We start from the raw sequence: 20,757 nt of genomic DNA on the forward strand, positions 1-20,757 counted from the left end.
GTTCCAAAATTGACTGTGTTGATAGTTGCACACATCCGTGAGTATACAGAAAGCCATTGAATCATACGCTCTAACTGGATAAATTGGATGCGATGTGAGTTCTATCTCAATAAAGCTATTATTTAAAATATAGAGGTCAGCTGGGTGCAGTGGCTCACACCTGTAATCCCAGCACTTTGGGAGGCCGAGGTGGGCTGATCACCTGAGGTCAGGAGTTTGAGACCAGTCTAGCCAACATGGCGAAACCCTGTCTTTACTAAAAATACAAAAACTAACTGGGCGTGTTGGTGCATGCTTGTAGTCCCAGCTACTCGGGAGGCTGAGGCAGGAGAATTGATTGAACCTGGGTGGCGGAGGTTGCAGTGAGCCGAGATTGCGCACTCTAGCCTGGGCAACAGAGGGGGACTCCGTCTCAAAAAGCAATAAAAATGAATAAAAATTCAAAATAAATAAATAAAATATAGAGGCTAAGTGCAGGCCGCCTGCCCCGTCATTCCCTATCTTGTGAGGGGCTGAGCGCTAGAGACCAGAAGCTGTGGATTTTCCAGCCAGGCCCTATTGGCTGAGGCACACGTGTGGCTCCCCCAAGACAAGAAGCTTCTGGAAACTCATGGCGCCCAGCACCGAGCCAGCGAGCCAGCTTCCTTCCCTGCTAAGCCCATCCCACCCCGGCAGAGCTCCCTTGTCTCTGCCCACCCCAACCCGGAGGCTGCTCACCCTCAGCTCCTGCCCAGCTCTGGCCTCCTGGCAGCATAGCGAGCTTTCTAGAGCATTCTGGAGCTTTCCAAGGCAGCAACTGCAGTCCCAGCCATTCTCCAAAGCTTAATTCTGCTCTCACCTAGTCCCAGCTGTGACCAGTGCCCGCCTCAAGAAGCCTACAGCCCAGGGCCCGCCCTCCCTGCAGACCGGACAGCAACGCCACCTCTGGGAGACTCGTGGGGACGGGGCCCAGGGCAGGCTCACAGTGGGAGGCTGGCAGCACCTACCCGGGGCAGGGCCTCCTCCTGCCACTACCACGTCAGGCATCACTGAGAAGGAGGCAAGGCCTAGAGCAGTCGGCACCCTCTGCAGAGCTGGCACATCCAGGGAGCTTAGGGTCCCTGCATGCTTCTGGGGTTCAAAGGGCAGAGGGTGTGAGGGGCAGCAGGGAGGCTTGAGACCCTCTGGACTTCGAGATCACCATTTCTGCCCCAAAGCCGATGCCTCCACCAGCACTGGCCCCTGCAGTCCTCGCAGCTCCCCTCGAGCTCAGGAGAAGCCCGCAGGACCCCACTCTCCCTCCCAGGGCTCCCTCTCCACCTCCTGGGGCTCCCTCCCTCCCCAACCTCCCCACACTCCCCAGGCTCCCACACTTGCCAGGCCCTTCCCCCAGCCTAACCCTGGCTCACCATTTACTCAGCCTATTTAGCATCGTAATGCAGACTGGTTGTGCTGGGTCCTACAGGTATTGATTTTGCTCTATTTTACTGGTTTTAACTTAATGACTAGAAACCCCAAACAAATAAAATTTCCTTTAAAAACTCAGAGAGATCAATGCTCATGGGCCAGAATCCCTATTCTACGAGCCGAAGGGACAGTCCCCTGGGTTCTCCGCATCATCGCTCATGGCCAGAGGCTCCCCGGGGGCTCGGGAAGGATCCCTGGGTGGGGGTGGGGGCAAGCATACCCCACCTGCTCAGGGCGGCCGCGTCCCTCCTAAAGCGAGACCCCCACCCTCTGGCTGGTGAGGCTGTTTAAAAGCCTGTCTCCAGGTTGTAAAACTGGAAAAATTTAAAACTTATGATTCATCTGTTTCCATGTGTCCCAGGCGGCCTCTGAGGTTGGCCGGGCTCTGAGGCAAGGAGGGGTCCCGACCCTGGGCATGGATGCAGATGTGGAGGACCTCTCGGAGCACGCAGGTGCTGAGGCCCCCAGCCCAAGCCGCCAGGACGGTCCCCATTCCTGGCTGGTGGGCTGGGCCACAGGTCAGTCCGTGCCCCATGGCCTGGGGGACACTCCTCCCGTGCCCTCCTGCGGGCTGCCCAGGGCGGCTGCCTTTGCGATCCCCAAGGTCTCCCAGAGGTCCTGGGGTGGCAGGGGCCCCAGTTTATCCAGTGGAAGGGGAAACTGAGGCAAGGTCCTGGACAGGGAGTCCTGGCTCTGCCTCTTCCCGTGAGACCTGGAACAAGTCTCCCGCCCTCCTAGGGTTCCAGGCTTGTGGTTGTGAAACCAGGGGGCGCTCAAGGGACACTCAAGGCTCTCAGTTCTCCCCATCCAAGTCCTCCAAGTCAACAGGACCCCCAGGAGTGGGGGAGAGGAGGAGCAGAGCTGGCCGGGGGCCGGGGTGGGGAGTGGAGGCCTCGCCCTCCCTTGACCTCCCGGATCTGCCCCTGTGCTTCCGGGAGGGTGAGGAACCAGCAAGAACCCCCACCCCCTGCACCGAGGTCCCCAGGCCAGGCCTGCAGCCTCCCTGGAGGGAGCCCTTTATTGCCCCTCCCCAGAGGCCCAACCCAAGCTCCTCACCCTGATGGCATTCATCCAAGAAGCCAGGATGAGGGTTCCCATCCCCACTGCTCACACTTGGGAAGGTTTTAAAACCAGCTGGGACCAGTTACAGGGACAGCAGGACTTCTGTGCCCACTGGGGCCAGCCCAGCTACCTCCAGGGGGTCTGGGTTGACCTTGGCCTGGGAAGCCTGTGCATGCCGGGGAGGGGGCACTGGGCTTTTCGCCTGCTCCCTCAGCCCAGTCTCTGGATTGCACTGGCCCCCAGCAGCTGGAATCCCTGCTCCCCGGAGGCCCACCCATTTCTGCAGCCCAGCCCCCCACCTCACCCCTCTCCCTGCTAGCATTTAGGCAGCTCCAGGGACACCCTGGTCACCCCATCCTGACTTGGGCAGGATCATAGAGCATATGATTTAATCTTCTTGTGCCTCAGTTTCCCCCTAGGTGCACTGGGTCCATGCCTCTGGGCTGGCAGAATTTGACTGCTGGGACACTTAGGCCCCTGGAGGAGTCAGGAACAGCCCCCTGGCCGGCTCTGCAGTGCACACGTGGTCAGGCCCTGAGGTGGTATCTCCTGCAGGTCTGGAGAGAGGCTGGCAGGTGGGTGGAGAGGCTGTTGAGAAGGGCACTGCCAGGGTCCAGGGCAGAGTCTCCACGTCCTACCCACCCACATGGGCTCCCTGGCTGTGCGCTCTGCAGAGGGTGACACGTCCAAGGAATGGGGAACGCAAGACTTCCCTCTGCTGGGTCACGGCTCCATCTCCAAGTCTGGGCCAGCAGCCGGAGGGCTGGATGCTATTTGCAAATTAGTGTTTCACCATTAGACTTTCGGCTGTGGGAGGTGGTGACAAAGACCTTGGCCCCCCACACTTAGCTCTTGGGAACGGCTCTGCCTGGGTTCCCCCGAAGCACAAGCACATGTCACCCGCCACCCACTCCGGGCCCTGTGGGTCCAGCTCTGCAGCCCAGCCCACCACTTACAAACACAGTAGGTCAGGCAAGAGGCTTCTGCTCCCAGGTCTTGATTTTCTCATCCACACAACGGGCCTGAGCTCTACTGTGGAGGCCAGGACAATGGCAAGGACTGGAGGAGGTAAAATCCCGGGACCTCCAGTCCAGTGCCGCCCCACGTCCTGGGGATGCTGTGTGGATCGAGCATTACAAAAGCATTTTGTAAGAAGGTGTTTGGGGGACTCCAGCCCCACTGGACAGATGGGAATACTGAGGCCCCAGAAGGCACCTGTGGGAAAGATGCAGGCTCCAGTCCTGGTTGCGACACAGACGCGTGCCTCTCGGATCCTCTCTGCCCGCCATTTCCCCAGGGGTCAGCGTTCTCAGGAATGCTCAGGGCCTGGCGGCCCACCTGCTCAGAAGGCCCAGGCAGCTCTGCCAAGGCCAAGGGCAGCAGAGACCCTCCAGCAGGCCAATGTGCCCAAGAGTCCTCGTCCTCCAAAGCCCAGTAGCTTAAGCACGATTGAGGGATTCTGCAGCTGTGTTTCTGTAAGGAGGAAATCATTGACTCTGGTTGGGGGCAGGGCATTTGGGGGGCATACCTGGAAGGGGCACCATCACAGGAGCTGGGAGGCTGGCACCTGGACGGGTCCCATGGGACCCACTGAAGAGTGACCTACATGTGTGAGTGGCCCATGGCTGGGACTTGGAGAGGGGCAGGGAAAGCAGGGGTGCCGTTCCAGGCTCCCAGACAGCGTCTGCTCCGGGCAGAAATTGTTTATGCGTCACCCACCCAAGGCTCCCGGGGCTGGAGGGGCAAACCCACCCACTCCTCTCTCCCCTCCTCCCCTTCCTCGTCCTCCACGCAGTGGGGGCTGCCTGGCTTTGGGATCCTCTTCCATTTCCTCTCTGCAGACATCACTCCTGGACCCAGTCCCCAATCCCTGGAAGGTTCCGGAGCCTGAGATGCTCTCCCCCCAACTCAGCCCATAGGTGAGACCTTGGCCTCCCTCACCTGCTAGGAAGCCCCTTGCTCGGGCTGCCTGCCCTTGGGGCCTCCAGGCAGAGCTGGACTGAATCTACTTGAGGGAGTAGCACCATCCAGATGGGCCCCCAGTGGGCCGGGGAAGGGCAGGAGACCTGCACCTTGCCAGCTGCCCTGGCTTCCCGGCACCCTGGGGGCTGGTGGAGCCCTGTTATCACTATGTCGGGGAGCAGAGCCCTGGGGTCAGGATGTGGGTGGCAGGAGGGCTTGGGGAACTTGGCTGTGGACATCTGGCCACCTGATTTGGAGCTGGGCAGCACTGGGCAAGTTCTTCCCTACCCCTGGCCTCAGTGTTCTCAGCTGTAAAATGGAATAAGGACAGGTTGTGAGGCTTAAACAGTATAAAGTGAGGGAAAAGGCTTAGCTCATTCAGTCCTGAGAGTAGCCACCCCGAGGAGGCCTGAGGGAGCGCCTCATAGACGATGCCTGTCTCCACACTCAGGTGGTTCTAAGAAAGAAAAGTCATCGGAGGACCCGTCCGGCTGCCACTCCAGCCCCAGCAGCCACCCCTGGTCACCAGGCCCGCACCTCCGACCCCCTCCTCACTCAGGCCTTAGAAGGAAAGAGCTGCTGCTTCTACAACGAGGATGCAAGACCTGGGCGGGACCCCCGGCATTCCGGCTTCGCCGTCCTTCTTTCCACCTCCAAGGGCAGAGCCACAAAAGGAACTTTCTGAGCAGAGCCCAAAGAGGTCCCTGAGGTCCCTGGAGCCTCCAATGGGCCCCCAGAGTCAGGGCAGAGGTGGCAGGTAAGGAAGTGTGGACATGTGTGTGGTGTGTGCACAGTGTGAATGTGCTTGTGTGTGTGCATCTGTGCATGTGTGTGTGTGTGATGTGCAAACGTGCACAAGTGCATGGGTGAGTGGTATGTGCGCACACGTGCACGTGCACACGCATGTAAGCATGTATATGCACGACCTGCTGTGTGCAAACCCGTGTGTGCTGTGTGGTGAGTGCACATGCCTGTGCAAGCAAATGTGCACGCATGTGGTACAGTGTTTAAGCATGCACATGTGATATGTGGGTGCACAAATGCATACGTACATGTGTGATATGTGCAATGTGTGTGTGCATGGCCGTGTGTATGAGTCCACGCACGCCATGGGAGAAAGGAGCCCAGGCTGGCTCCAGGACCCGCAGAGCCCCCCTTGCTGATGAAGTTCCCAGGCCCAGGCCACCCCCGTGTGGAGGAGGCACCGGCCACGGAGTCGTGAGTGGGCAGAGCTCCTCTCCCAGAGCCTGGCCAGGGCGGGCCCCACTTCCACCCAGCTGGTGCGTGCCCCTGCCTCTCAAAGCTGGTTTAATCTGATTGCTGCTGACCGGGTGAGAAGCTCCCTACCTGCCAGATGTTCTCCAGGATTCAATTGTTAATATCTTTCATCAATTATTGAAGGGGAGGGCTCCCTCTTTTCTTAAAAAAAGCAGCAGCACCGGCGCACAGGAGTGGCTCAGGTTACCCGGTCTGCAGGTGCCAACTTGGCTGCGAGGAGGGCAGGGAGGAGCTGAGCCCCAGGCCTCTCAGTGAGCTGGGTCAGCACCCCTGGAACAGCTGCCCGGGAAGGAGGGTCCCTTAGCTGGATGGAAGCTCCTCTACTGCAGCCCCTCCCTGCCTGGACCTACAGGGACTCTGATCTCTTGATCCTCACAACAGCCCCCCAGGGTGCCTGGCGGAGGGGATGGCACAGGGGGCTGTGCCTGCTCACAGGCTGCGCTCCCTGGGGCCGCATGTCTTGGGGCAACACAGTTAAGGGCTTGTGGTCTTCCAGGCTGGCTCCTCTGTGCCTGGCATCCAGCCCCTAACTGTCCACTGGGACTGGCTGGTAGCTGGGCCGTGAGAGCTGACCTCCACCCCATTCCCTCCATGGGGAGCGAGCGTTGAGCTGCCACGCACCCATGGCGGGGCCAGGAGGGAAAGCCCAGGGGCCTTGGGACACAGACACGGCAGCTGCAGCGGTGTGTCCACTCAGAGATGCTGTGTGGCCCACGTGGGTCCCCGGTGGTGCATACCAAGGTCCAAGGTCTCATTTTAGAGTTGAACATGAGGGTGGAATTGCCTCTCTGGCTTCGTAGAGCCGAAGGTGCAGCATGGAGGGGGAAGCAGGATCCTCAGGGCCAGAGCCGGGGCTGGGGTTCGTGCCCAGGGCTCCAAAATGCCAGCCCCGAGCTGCCCCACCCTGCTGGGCCTCCAGGGGCCACTCGACAGTCATCCTCATGCTCCCTCCAACCATGGAGGGCAGGTCCTGCCCCGGGTCCATTTCACAGATGAGGAAACTGAGGCCTGAGGAGGCAGCAACCCGATCAAGGCCACACAGCAGGTGGAGGGATGGAGCTGGGACCAAAGCCCCCATGGCCCAGCCCCGAGCCACGAAGCACGTGGCTGCCTCTGGGGCACCAGCAGCCAACTTGACCCCCATGCCCGAGCACAGAGACCACCCACACTGCCCCCTGCCTGGCCTGTCACCGCAACACAGACGGGGCAAAAGGACACGTGTCCTGTTCAGCAAGTGTCTGGTGTCGTGACATCCGATCGGGCCATTCAGCCAAAACTCATTCTCTGGGGCCTCTCTTCGGCCCCTGAATTATGCAGGAGGCCAGGCCACACGGTGGCAGATGGCGGCGCACACAGTAACTGGAGCCCGGGCAGGCGGGGCACCCTTCCCCTCCCCCGCTGCTCTCCCCGGGGATGAAGACACACACACGGGGCGGGGGGGCCCCCAGTCCCAGGGATTCCACTGCAAGGGACAAAGGGCCCGCATAATACAGGTTCCAGCAACGTCCCCCTTAAATGCGTTTGTTCCTCTTTGAATTTGAATTCCAGACGGAGGGTGCAGCCTCGTTTGTCGTGTTCTGGGCGGGGTCCCTGGGCATGCGGAGCTCAGATGGACGGGAAGGCGGTGCCAAGAGGGCAGGGGCCTGGCCCAGCCAGGGAAGGGGTGGGGGAAAGAGGGCAGGCACCGGGGCCTGTCTACTGGGACAGGAGAGCCAGCACTTGCTGGGCAGCAGGGGCTGGGCTGTAATGAGGGGACCTGGGGCCCAGATGAGCAGAGACCAGGGGCCTGTATGGGCCAAGGGGGCTCCACCCCGGCATTCCGTAGAGTTGGTGCTGTCTGCCCCAGGCTTCCCTGAGCAGCTGGTGAGCTGGCAACATCTACTTTCGCTGGAGCACCAAAGTCACGAAAGCCGCTCTGCCGGGCCCAAAGGTTCAGGCACCCCCCAGGGCAGCTGAGGCCAGGCTGGCGTTGGACGGCGGGGTGGGAAAGGTGGGTGTTCAGGAAGACAACACAGCCTCGCTGCACCTCCAGGAGGGCAGCGGTGGGCAACCTGGTCTAGGACAGAGCCCACCGTTAGGGTGGGGGGCAGAGATGCGGGGGCACTTCTGGGTCCCCGTCTTTGCTTGAGAGGTGGGCTTTCTGGTCCTCACTCTGTGAAAATGGCAGCCCCGAGGCCTGTGCACTTCCCAGGCTGCAGGACACAACCTCGGGCCTTGAGCCGTCCCCACAGGCAGCCCCAGGCTGAGCTGGTTCCACCCCTCAGCCTCTCCCAGGCCCCCAGCCCCCGGCCCTCCTCCCACACCTGAAGAACTGGATGGAAGAGCTGGTCATTCCGACCCAGAGCCCACCCCTCAGTGCGTTGGGTTCCCTGGGGGAGCAGGCCCAGTGTGCGTCCATCCAAACAATGATTTATTTCAGAATTGAGTGTATTACACCGAGAACTTGCCAGTTCTGTCCTGCCAACGTGCACAGGAGATCTGGCTAATTAAATATATTATTCAGTGTAGCCTTGATTGTTGGAAATGAATCAGTTTAATTACAGTGAGAATCACGCATCATAATTAACGTTCCAGCTTTAAATCAAAGATGGAGGAGGGGCCTTCCTGCTGCACACTCTGGCATGGAAGCGGCGGAACCCAGGACGCACTGGGAGAAGCCACCATGTTCGCCCACGAGGCCTGATTCTGCCCTGTGGAGGGGGACCTGGGCACACCACACACTGCCCTGTAGAACATGGACAATGATAGGAACAAGGCTGCAGGCCATCGAGAGATTTGGGGCGACTCGTCAGTAGAATTCCGGGACCCAATCTGGCACCGGACTTGGCTCAGGAAGTGCCAGAGGCTGTTGCTGATGCCAAGCTCTGCTCTTGACAAAGACCACTCGTCCCGTGGGCCAGGCCTGTGACCCTGCTGGCCGTGAGTCCCTGGGGTGGGTCTGGGCCTGACCTGTCCCTCCTCCAGGGTGGCCTGAGTGGAGTGTGGCGCCCAGACAGATCTGGACAGGCCGACCCTGATCTTGGAGGTCCTTGGACTCATCTCCGGCCACCCTCACCCTGGAAGCAAGCCCCTGCTTTCTGGGAGGCCACTGCCACCAGGCTCTCCGGGACAGTCAGATGTCTGCCCTCTCTCTGCAGCCCCGGGGCTGGGGCCCTGGGAGGAGGCTCAGGCCACAAGTCCATCTAGCCCCTTGCTCCCAAGCCTGAGGTCCCGCTGTGGCAGAGCCATTCTCTTGGGTCTGGAAGCCCCCTCCCTCTCCCAGGGAAAGCCAGGCTGACTGGCAGGGCTATGAACACCCTGGGAGGCTGAGTCCATCTTACCTGTGTCTTCAGGATCCAGTGCACCGACATCTGTGGAATGAATGAGTGAGTGAGTGAGTGAATGAGTGAGTGAGTGAGTGAATGAGTGAGTGAGTGAGTGAATGAGTGAGTGAGTGAGTGAATGAGTGAGTGAGTGAATGAGTAAGTGAATGAATGAGCAAGTGAATGAGTGAGTGAGTGAATGAGTGACTGAGTGAGTGAATGAGTGAGTGAATGAGTGAATGAATGCGTGAGTGAGTGAATGAGTGAGTGAGTGAATTGAGTGAGTGAATGAGTGAGTGAGTGACTGAATGAGTGAGTGAGTGAATGAGTGAGTGATGAGTGAGTGAGTGAATGAGTGAGCGAGTGAATGAGTGAATGAGTGAGTGAGTGAATGAGTGAATGAGTGAGCGAGTGAATGAGTGAATGAGTGAGTGAGTGAATGAGTGAGCGAGTGAGTGAATGAGTGAGCGAATGAGTGAATGAGTGAGTGAATGAGTGAATGAGTGAGTGAATGAGTGAGTGAGTGAGTGAATGAGTGAGTGAATGAGTGAGTGAATGAGTGAGTGAATGAGTGAGCGAGTGAATGAGTGAGCAGGTGAATGAGTGAGCGAGTGAATGAGTGAATGAATGAGTGAGTGAATGAGTGAGTGAATGAGTGAATGAGTGAGTGAATGAATGAGTGAGTGAGTGAATGAATGAGTGAATGAACAAATGTGCTAGAAATCTGGGGCTTTCAGGGATTGTGCATCAAATCCCCAGAAAAGGAAGAAGGCAGGTCCCCAGCAGCCCCCATCCTGACTCTGGGGACTGCCAGGGGCTGGGGCCTGAGCTGTGATCACACTCTCCAGCTCAGGTGGGCCACAGGCCACGCTGGGGGATTCAGATCTGGGGAGCCCTGACTTTATTGCTGAAGAAATGACAGCCAAGAGAGGGGACAGGGCAGGAACAAACGGGGTGTGGAGATCACGGGCACAGCTCTGACCCCGCCACTGTGCGCTTATGGGATCAGACCCAAACCCCCTGCCAGCAACAGCCCCTGCCTGTGTCCTCCGGAAGTTCTCAAGGTCAGAGTGGTCCCCTGAGGAGTGGGGTCAGGGCCTGGAGAGCGTCTGTCCAGAGAATACCCAAACAGCCGAAGGGCGCAGGCCCTTGGGGAGCGCTCGGGACAGCCCAGTAACCACCTGATTCCGTTTTAATTTTATTTCCTTGATGAAAACAGCAGGATCAATCCTGCTGACCATTTAGCAAGGTGTCCCATTTGCATATTCAAAAGATGCTGCAGCGGGAGGGCGGTGGGGGATGGGAGGACAGGCTTCAGGCTGATTGAAGTGGAGGCTCATTTCGGCTACAAGGAATTTAATTTCCACTTGCAAACTCAGAATAGATTGCGGTGTGGTGGCCGCCCACAGGACGCCGTGCGGAGGAGCTGCGAGAAAGCGGAGAAAGTGTCTCTGGAAGCGCTGTGCGTTAGCTCCGTGTCACTTCCCTTCAGCGTCTGTCCCGCCGCTGCTTTTAGCTGAAGTTATGATTGAAATTTGAAGGCTGGAGGTCTAGAGAAAGGGGAATTTAGTCCTGTGAAGGTGGCAGCTGGAGAGTCCCATTCCCCGAGAGTTCCGGACACAGCCCCACACAGCCCCGCACAGCGCTTGGGGAGGAACCCTGGTCCCTGGGATATTGGGAAAGGCCCCCACAGCCAGTGGCCACCTGGCCTGCAATCTGCATGGTGAAGCCACAATGGACACTGCGGCCTCACCCTCAGCAGCTTTGGGCGAGGGGGTCTGGTCAGCTGCCCTGTGGCCGAAGCCCCACCTTCACGGGGTGTGCAGTGGTGGCTGAGATGCCTCAGAATATGGTCATCCTTGGTCCCCTGCAGAGAGGCCTGCCATCTCCCAACAGTGAGGGTGATCCTGCCGGCCCTCCGCTGAGGATGGGAGCCTGCACAATGCCTTCCTCCTCCGGGATCCGGCTCTAGCTGGGACTGGAGTGTGGGCTCAGGGCTCTTCTGAGACGGGGATCAGGGCCTGGTCTGTGACGGGGATCGGGGCCTGGTCTGTGACGGGGATCGGGGCCTGGTCTGTGACGGGGATCGGGGTCTGGTCTGTGATGGGGATCGGGGTCCGGTCTGTGATGGGGATCGGGGCCTGGTCTGGATCAGGGTCCGGCCTGTGACGGGGATCAGGATCTGGCCTGTGACGGGGATCAGGGTCCGGCCTGTGACGGGGATCAGGACCTGGTCTGTGATGGGGATCAGGGCCTGGTCTGTGATGGGGATCAGGGTCCAGCCTGTGACGGGGATCAGGACCTGGTCTGAGACAGGAATCAGGGCCTGGTCTCTGATGGGGATCAAGGCCTGGTCTGAGACAGGGATCAGGGCCTGGTCTGTGATGGAAATCAGGGCCTGGTCTGTGACAGGGATCGGGGCCTAGTCTGAGGCAGAGATCAAGATCGATGGCCAGGGTCGGGGTCAGAGTTTGAGAGGAACAGGGCTCAATGTGTGGCTGTGGTCAGGAAGGGCTGGCTGAGCAGCAGTGAGCTCAGGGAGGCTGGAGGAGCTAGGAAGGAGAATGAGGCTCCAGAGAGGCCAGAGGAGTGGATTTGTCACTCGACCACAGCAGAACGTGGGCTGAGGAGGGGGAACTGCCAGGCCAGGTCACGGGTGAGCCTCGTCGCTGGGCCTCAGCTTCGTAGATGCTCACCCTGACCATCCAGTGAATTCTCACTGAGGGGAAGAAGAAACCACCTCCTTTGAAGGGCTGGGCACAGCAGAGTGCCCCGGCTCTGCGACCCTCTGGGCCTGGGCACGAGACCTCCTGACTCCGTCCCCCACAGAGCCCTCACTTCAGGACTTAGCAGCTCAGAACCCCAGACCCTTCCCAGAACCAGGGCTCCACTGTCGCTGCCTGGGTGGTGCCCGCCCCTCACGCTGTCACCCACGTCTGAGGCTGGAGGGATCAGGAGAAAAGGGGCACACAGCTCAGAGATCCCCCTGAGCTGACCACAGGCCCAAGACTTCATTTTTCACAAGGGGAAACTGAGGCTCGGGGCCTGCAACCAGTATGTCCCACATCCCAGAGCTGGTGAGTGGCTACCCTGCCCATGGCACACGAGGCTGGGCTGGGGTGTGCGTGTCCACGCCGCACCTCTGCCAGGAGCCTGCCCCACCCAGCGGTGAGGCCCCTGGCATGAGAAGAAGTCTGGGCTCCTGGCCCGCCCTCAGTGCCAGCGGCTGCCCTGCCTGTCTTGCACACGGCTTTAGGCAAGGGCCGAAGGCTGCCCTGGCCGCCCCCTTCTGGAAGGGCCACCCGGCAGGTGGCAGAGACACTGCCATAAAAGGGGCTGCCAGGGCGGGGCAGGCTCTGCCACCTGCGGGCTTCAGGACCTCACCTCTCCTCCTGCAGTCTGCTCATCGGTGAAATGGACGGAACAGCAGCCCCTGCCCGAGGTGTGGCGGTGAAGCAAGCAGTCCCATGTCGGAGGCTTAGAGCGGAGCCCAGCACACAAGGAAGGGCCTGCACGGGTGGCTAGGTCTGGTGAGGAATGAGGTCTCCATGCACCACGTGTGTTAGGAGAGGAGCATGTCCTTCTTGGTACAGTAGCATCTGCTCCAGAACCAGTTTCAGACGCTGGATTAGAGTCCATGGGATCAAGAAGGGAGCCTCGTGGCCAGTCTCTCCCATCCCCCCATTCTCTCCCATCCCCCCAGTCTCTCCCGTCCCTCCAGTCTCTCCCATCCCCTGAGTCTCTCCCATCCCCTGAGTCTCTCCTGTCCCCCCAGTCTCTCCCATTCCCCCAGTCTCTCCCATCCTCCCAGTCTCTCCGGTTCCCCAGTCTTTCCTGTCCCCCCAGTCTCTCCCATCCCCCAGTCTCTTCCGTCCCCCCTCCTGTCCTTCCAGGCTCTCCCATCCCCCCAGTCTCTCCCATCCCCCCATTCTCTTCCATCCCCCCAGTCTCTCCCATTCCCCAGTCTCTCCCATCCCCCCAGTCTCTTCCATCCCCCAGTCTCTCCCCTCCCCCAGTCTCTTCCATCCCCCAGTCTCTCCCATCCCCCCAGTCTCTCCTGTCCTTCCAGGCTCTCCCATCCCCCCAGTCTCTTCCATCCCCCCAGTCTCTTCCGTCCCCCAGTCTCTCCCATCCCCCCAGTCTCTTCCGTCCCCCAGTCTCTCCCATCCCCCCAGTCTCTCCCATCCCCCAGTCTCTCCTGTCCCTCCAGTCTCTCCGCTCTCCCAGTCTCTCCCATCCCCCAGTCTCTCCTGTCCCTCCAGACTCTCCGGTCTCCCAGTCTCACCCATCCCCCAGTCTCTCCTGTCCCTCCAGTCTCTCCGGTCTCCCAGTCTCTCCCATCCCCCAGTCTCTCCTGTCCCTCCAGTCTCTCCGGTCTCCCAGTCTCTCCCATCCCCCAGTCTCTCCCCTCCCCTCTCTCCTGTCCTGCCCCTCCCCCGACATATTGGCAGCCGTCCGTGAGGGGGTCCGGAGGCCAGTGGTGTCCTTTGGACCCTTGTGGAAAATCCCCCCAGGGTCAGAAGGGCCCAGAGGGAAGACAGGACTCTGTGGAAGAGGTTGCCTGCCCATGGAGAGAGTCCAGATGCATTGTGGGCCCTGTGGGTTGGCCCTAGTCTCCGCCACTGGGACCTCAAGCTGGCCAAGGCCATGGCCAGGCCCTGGCTCCTAGGAGGGGTGAAACTGATGGCTGGACATGTACGTGGACGACAGCCTCCAGGGAGGGCTGTTCAACCCCCGGCACTGGTATCATTCTCTGCCCCCTGGAGCTCCTGGGAAGATCCGTTAAGCAAGTGGTGGGGCTTCCACGGCACGGAATATTACGCAGCTGTCAAAAACGACGTGTAGGAAGAGTTTCCAGTAACGCAGGGAGATCCCGTGGTGAGAAAAGGCTGGTTCAAAAACAGAATCTATAGGATGTCCTTGGTGTGCAAAGAACGAGTGTGGCAGAAAATGTGGGAGAGCAGCTGCCAGGATCCATGGATGGACGGGGAAGGGGTCGCTGTGTTTCTTCAACTTTTCTATATTTTGCAGATTTGGGATGATGAGCGCGTCTGACTCTGATAACCAGGGAAAAGTGGAAAATGAAATGGAAGTGGCCAGCAGTCAACAATCCATCAGTTTCCTCAACTGCTCTTTTAAACACGGGTGACCACACAGCCCAGAAACTCCCTTCCAGGGACTACCCGAGAGATTGAAGGCAGGCCCCACAGAGACGCGCCCAGCTCCTGCTCCTCAAACTGCTCCGTTAAACACGGGGTGACCACACAGCCCCGAGAGAATGAAGGCAGGCCCCACAGAGACACGCCCAGCTCACGGTCACAGCAGCATCATTTACAGCAGCCAAAAGGTGGAAACAGCCCAGGTGTCCTCCGGCAGACGGGTGGATTAACAAGCGGTCTAACTGCGCCATGGGGTATAATTTAGGCTTAAAAAGGACGCAGCGCTGACACACGGGAAAACACGGCGAGCCTGGGAGCGTCAGGCCGAGGGCAAGAAGCCAGGCACAAAGACCACGTTATGGGATTCCATTCACAGGCAGAGCCTAGAACAGAGACACCTGTAGGGACGGATAGTAGATTCAAGGTTGCCAGGGCTGGCGTGGGGGGCTGGGGAGGTGACTGAGGACATAGGCTTTCTTTTTTTTTGAGATGGAGTCTTGCTCTGTCACCCAGGCTGGAGTGCAGTGGTGTAATCTGGGCTCATTGCAACCTCTGCTTCCCATGTTCAAGCGATTCTCCTGCCTCAGCCTCCTGAGTAGCCGGGATTACAGGCACCTGCCACCACACCTGACTAATTTTGTATTTTTAGTAGAGATGGGGTTTCTCCATGTTGGTCAGGCTGGTCTCGAACTCCCGACCTCAGGTGATCCGCCCACCTCGGCCTCCCACACTGCTGGGATTACAGGTGTGAGCCGCCACACCTGGCAGCCTTTCTTTTTGAGGTGATGAAAATGTTCTAAGATGGACTGTGCTGACGGCTGCACAGCTCTGCGAATACACAAAACACCCCACTGTTCTCGCATATTCTGAACGGTACACTGCAGGTGAGTGACTTGTACAATATGTGAATTACATCTCAATAAAGCTATTGTTCGAAAAAGCAGCAGCCCCAGCAAACAGTGAATCGGGGCAGCAGAGGATGGAGCCCTCTCCTCCTCCTGGGGGGACAGATGGCGCGGCCCCCCGGGGTTCGGCACCCTTGTCTGGTGCCCTGTGCTGTGGGGCTCCAGGAGCCCGCCGGGCGGCCATCGCCGGGGTGACGGCTGAAAGGCGGGATTGAAAGCCTTGGAGGGGCCTCCGTGGGTTGAGGTCAATAAATCTCGCCGGCTGTGCGGCCTCCCGCCCGCTCTGTTCAGCAATCTGTCCGGCTGCCTTTCACCAGCCCAGTGGCTCCCATTACCTCGGGGGAAGAGCCACAAATCACCGTGACAGACCAATCAACAGGCCGGGGAATTTTTACACACGCTGCCTCTTGAAGGATGAGTCCCCCTCAGCAGAGCATCAGAATAAATCTCCTCAAAAACTTTCCCCTGAGCCCACCTCCCCCCGGGGCCCCGAGTGGCTGGTGGCCTCCCCCGAACTCACCAGGGCCAAGCCCACCTGCGTCCCTTCCGGCTGGCGGGGCTGGGACCCTCTGCCGCCGTCCCCACTGGACGCCTCCCTGTGTCCCAGGAGGCCGACTCTGAGCTGGGGGTGGTCTGGGGGCCACCAGGGCTGGCTCTGACCAAGTCCACCCCGAGCTGTCCAGCCACGTCCCTGCCGGGACACTGCTGGCCCCTTAGTCCCCCATTCAATGTTGTTGGGCCCTCCCAGCAGGGCCGGAACACCTCATTTCAGCAGGAAGAAAGAAAGCTTTATAAAATAATTCATAGGAAACTTAAAACACTCAGACACCAAGAAATTGCAAATGGGGAAATATGATGGATTATGGGCTGGAGGAAGGCGACTTCCGCAGGCAAAATTGATCCCTTGGAAAATGGTTTTGTCTGCTATGAAAAATGGGTAATATCTCGCTGGGGCTCAAGAGCTATAATCCCGAAAATAATTTGCTTTTGATTTCCTTTTAGCCCCTGTTCTCCCCCCAACCCGTCCCCATTTAGGAGCCCTGGGCCTGCTCGTGGTGGGGGCCCCCTCTTTGTCAGGGCACCTGCTGGGGGCTCCCCCACTTGGTATTGGCTGGTCTACTTAGAGAGAGTCTTTTCTCAACTGATGGCTGACGGGGGTCGGCTCCCAGCGTGGCCGCCTCCCATGCCCCCAGCCCTCCTCTCTTCAAGAATTCCCAATTAGCTTGTCCCTTATCAGGGACTTTTTAAAAACCAAGCATCCAAGAAAAACATCGCATCATCTCTCAGCTGGGCTTGCAGGAAACCGTATCATTTCCTCCCCACCAGATATGCCGAGCAATGTTTCAATCAGAGATTCATGTCAGTACAACAGAACCAGAGAGGGGCATCCCAACCCCTCACCCTACAGAGGGGGGAGCTGGGGCCAGAGGGGAGGGTCTCTCCAGTCAGAAGTGGAGCTGAACCCAGGGTGGGCTTGGCTTTGGTGGAAGGTGTGGACACAAGCCCAGGACTCCAGCCACTGTGGAGAGGGTGGGGACAGAGCTATGAGCTCCGAGGGCCGAGGCCAGGTCAGAGCTCCTTCCTCTGAGGCCAGCCCTGCCGGGGGCTTTCACGACACCCAGACACTCTGCTCCTCCCCAGGCCTACTAAGTTGGGGTTTCCAGGGCAAGGGCAGGAGGCAGCCGTCCCACGTGGGAGAGGTCGTGCCTCCCAGTGCCTGGAGCTTTCTGCAGGTACAATGCTGCCCCTTCAACCCGTGAGCCACCAAAGGTCTCCCTGGGAGCAACGTCCCCAGCGGCTCCAGGTGGCTCCACGGGGTCCCACCTGCCGGGAGTCTCTGCAGTTCCCCTGTGGGCTGCAGCCTTCAGGGCCCTGTGGCAGCCCCGGGGACACTGGCAGGGCCACAGGGCCACTCGTGGACAAAAGACCTTGGGAGCAAGGGTACAGAGTGCTGTCCCCTGAGGTTGCTTTGTTCCTGTGGCAGCTGCCAGGTTTTCCAGGGATGTGGCTCCTGTAGCAGGAGCCCCAAGTGAGGGGTGCTGGGCCCAGGCTTCCAGGAAGAGAGGCCTGGAGGTGGCTGCTCAGCATCTCCTCATGGCCCAGGGACCTTTCCCTCCAGGGTCTGTTTCTTGAGGGTCACTGCGTGTCTCCAGCAGCATTGTCCTGTGGCCCCAGGGAGGAAAGCATGGGTGACCTGCCATGGGGAAGGCGTTTCCTGGAGGAAGAAAGGGCCAGAGATGCTGGGTGGCCACCCTGTGATGGGTGAGGGCCAGGCCTCATGCCTCACTGCTGGCTGCTCTGCTGCTGTGTCCCTGCAGGGTGACACAGGCACACCTTGCTCTGGGCCAGATAACTCCAGGAAAAGCCTCCATCTGTCAGAGCAGGTGCATGCAGCCCTGTGGGAGAAGCACAGCCAGGGACTCAACCCATTTCTTTCTGCTTGTGCAGCCGGGAAGTAGGGCTGTCCCGTCCCTTACCTGTGAGGCCGTTGAACACTGGCCTCCTTGGGCGTTTGTGCATTCACTCCCTAACCAAGTACCCTGACAAAGCTGAATGCATACATTTGTCTTGGAGCCTTCTGGAAAGAGATGATAAACCTCCCAAAGTTCACCCATCAAGGTCAGCACAAGTGATGTCCTGAACCTTAAGCTCCAGTCAAGCTTGGCAATGCATTTGTTAATTGATTGATTGATTGGTTGATTGACATGAAACTTCCTGATCCCTTTCCCAAAGCTGCCTGTTACATAGCACCGGTGATCCCCCACCCTCACCCCATGCACCGCAGCAGCCGGTCCTAATCCAGCCATCACCAAAACGTGTGCATGAGAGAAGGTATGGAATGGCTTCCCTACCATTTACCCACTGGCCTCTCCCAGAAGACCATCAATGGCCAAGGGCTCTGTGATTCAAGGCCGATCAGCTCTGTAATGAAATGTACCTCCCTTGGTGTATTTCAGGGACATTTGCACACCTGGGCTGGCAGGGACATGGCCACCGTGAGGAGATCTATTTCCCTTGCCTTGCAGACGATGGACCGGGCCCGTCTGTAGAGCCGTGGTGGAGCTGGCCACACGCACACGCAGGCCTATTTTTCAAACAATTGATTAATTCCGCAGCGATGTTTGCTGCCGTACATCACCTATGGCCGCACTGTGGGGCTTTCCGGTTCTCCTCCCACCTGTAATATTCCACAGCTGATGGCTGGAAATGGGGAAAGCTTTCTCGAAAACACTCATTCGGGGCTTACTGAGGTCATCAATCAGCTATTTTCAAATGTCAACTTTGAAGGCGAAAGGGGGATGCTCAGAAAACAGGACCCTCATTGGGAAAGTGGGGGGCAGGCTGGGGCAGCGGGGGTCTGTCACCCTAGGAAGCTGGAGCCTAGGTGACCTCAAGTCTTCGAACCTGGTCTGAGGGGCGACTGAACCCTGAAAGCTTGCTGTTGGCTCTCCAGATCCGCAGAGACGGGTTCAGGGTTGCCAGGGTCCCTCAGCGGAACCTGCTGCAGGTGTCAGAGGCCTGGATATGACCAGGCGGTCAGGGCCTGGTGCACCCGAGAATGTCAAATCCACTTCACAGAGACGTGAGCACCTGCCGGGGGTGCTATTTGCCCCATTCCTGCTGCCCCTCTCCGCAAAACAGGAGCCTGAACTGGCTGCCCCAGGGTCTTCGCCAGTGTGGGACCACGGCCTGGAAACAGCGGGGTCAGAATGTGCACGAGGCCTGGGCTGCGTGAAGCCTGTGTCGGTGATTCCACCGCAGGCAGCCGATGGAGATCCCAGCCCTGGAAGACCCCATCAGCCTCTGGTTACCTAATTAAAATGAAAACCCCTTCCAAGAACTCAGCACCGAGTTGGCCGTCCTGCCCCCAAGAGCTCATGTGTCGGGGAGGGGGCCACTCAGAGCCCAGGCCCCAGTCTAGGACTCACAGTTACCCAGAAAGAGGAGTGGCCAGTTATTCCCGGGACCGGACTGGAGGCAGGTGGGCGGAATGACTCAGGAAAAGCCACTGCTTGAGGGACCCCAGCACAGCAAGGTGCCAGGCCTTGGTCCGAGGAGGCCGGGCCCAGGAAGCTGGAGTGTGTGGGGCATGTTGGGAGGGTGGCGTGGTGGCTGCACTGGGGCTGCCTGGTCACTGCAGGGGTGAGGCTTGGAGACTGCAGGAGTGGGAGGGCCTGGGTGGGGCCCTGCTCTCCATGAGCCGGCCCCTATGGCTCTCCCTAGGGAGCAGACACCTGCAGGGAAGGCCGGGCCAGCTGAGGGGCAGCCTTGGAGAAGCAGCTGCAGGAACATGATGTGGGCTGTGTCTGCAGGTGAACGGCTTCTACAGGGCAGTGTGGGAGGGGAGGTTCCCAGGAGCGGGGAGGCCTGGGCTGCGCTCCTCAGGCCCCTCGCCTCTGGTGTTCCCTGGAAGGAGGGGCGGGAAGCTGGCGGCCCCGGCTGATTGTATTAGACAGGCCTTTATTGATCCAGCTCTTGCTTATCCCTGGTGTCTCATTTCAATAAACAGCAGTTTGGAGAAATTAGCGAGGGACCCTGGCTCCTTCCCCTCCCCCCTGCCCCTCTCCCCCATCTTCCTTTGGATTTGTCAGGAATGGAAGATTTATGAGGATTCGAGTGAGATTCTAATTTGTTCCTGAGACAGCGGGCTCAGAGCATTGAGGGCACGGGCCAAGCCCTTGCTGTTTACATGCCCTGACATGGGGACACAGTCTGGGCCAGGCCAGGGTCCTGGGCAGGGGCCTCACTGCTCAGCCACAGCTGCAGTCATCCGAGGAACTCAGCATGGTGAGAGGGAGATGTCACCAGACCTCTGGGGCCGAGTCAACCATGGGAGAAACCATCAGGAGGCAGCCTGGTGGGAGGGGACTGCCCCAGAGGGCACCACAGAGTTCTACCAGTCCTGGGCAAGTGGTCGTCACATTGCCCGGGCCTCAACCCCTCATCTGCAGGGGAGATGACAGATGTATGTGTGTGTGTGCATATGTGTGTGTGCATGTGTGTGTGCATATGTGTGTGGGTGTGTGCATATGTGTGTGGTGTGCGTGGTATGTGTGTCTGTACATGAGTGTATGTGATGTTATGTGCACCTGTGTGTGTGTACATGGCATGTGTGCATATGTGGTGTGTGCGCGCTTGCTGTGCTTTGGCACACATTGACACTGGCAGTGTAAAAAAACTCCCGTTTTTTTACCCAAATGCAACAGACATTTTCCCAAGTTATTCAATACTCCTTCTCTTTTTCAAAAATATATTTGTCACAGCTACAGAAACTCAGGGGATGGGCTGTAGCATAAAACCCTGAGTGGTTTCGCTTTTCTCCAGACCTTTTGGGGATGCTGTCCCTTCCCTCCCCTCCTTGCCCCTTCCCTCCCTTTCCCTTCCCTTTCTTTGGAAACAGGGTCTGGCTCTGTCGCTCAGGCTAGAGTGCAGAGGTGTGATCACGGCTCACTGCAACCTCCACCTCCTGGGCTCAAGCGATCCTCCCACCTCAGCCTCCTGATTAGCTGGGACTACAGGCAGGAGCCACCACACCGGCTATTTCTGTATTTTTCATAGACTTGAGGTATTGCCATGTGGTCCAGGCTGGTCCTGAAATCCTGGGCTCAAGCGACTGACCCACCTCGGCCTCTCAAAGTGCCA

General features: G+C 58.9%; 4 annotated features.

Annotated features, from left to right (window-relative positions):
* Positions 3,947-4,259: a silencer, noted in NCBI's record as "fragment chr9:139037051-139037363 (GRCh37/hg19 assembly coordinates)". NCBI's record gives its function as "represses an EF-1alpha promoter that drives an FKBP-Casp9 reporter gene in an ReSE screen in HepG2 liver carcinoma cells {active_cell/tissue: HepG2}" and the evidence as "EXISTENCE:reporter gene assay evidence [ECO:0000049][PMID:32094911]".
* Positions 5,542-6,473: an enhancer, noted in NCBI's record as "H3K27ac-H3K4me1 hESC enhancer chr9:139038646-139039577 (GRCh37/hg19 assembly coordinates)". NCBI's record gives its function as "activates a minimal SCP1, AML or CMV promoter by ChIP-STARR-seq in naive and primed H9 embryonic stem cells {active_cell/tissue: H9 hESC(naive and primed)}" and the evidence as "EXISTENCE:reporter gene assay evidence [ECO:0000049][PMID:30033119]".
* Positions 11,125-11,693: an enhancer, noted in NCBI's record as "H3K4me1 hESC enhancer chr9:139044229-139044797 (GRCh37/hg19 assembly coordinates)". NCBI's record gives its function as "activates a minimal SCP1, AML or CMV promoter by ChIP-STARR-seq in primed H9 embryonic stem cells {active_cell/tissue: H9 hESC(primed)}" and the evidence as "EXISTENCE:reporter gene assay evidence [ECO:0000049][PMID:30033119]".
* Positions 15,255-15,755: an enhancer, noted in NCBI's record as "H3K4me1 hESC enhancer chr9:139048359-139048859 (GRCh37/hg19 assembly coordinates)". NCBI's record gives its function as "activates a minimal SCP1, AML or CMV promoter by ChIP-STARR-seq in primed H9 embryonic stem cells {active_cell/tissue: H9 hESC(primed)}" and the evidence as "EXISTENCE:reporter gene assay evidence [ECO:0000049][PMID:30033119]".

Source organism: Homo sapiens, chromosome 9 (genome assembly GCF_000001405.40).
Source record: "Homo sapiens chromosome 9, GRCh38.p14 Primary Assembly".
Lineage (NCBI taxonomy): Eukaryota > Metazoa > Chordata > Mammalia > Primates > Hominidae > Homo > Homo sapiens.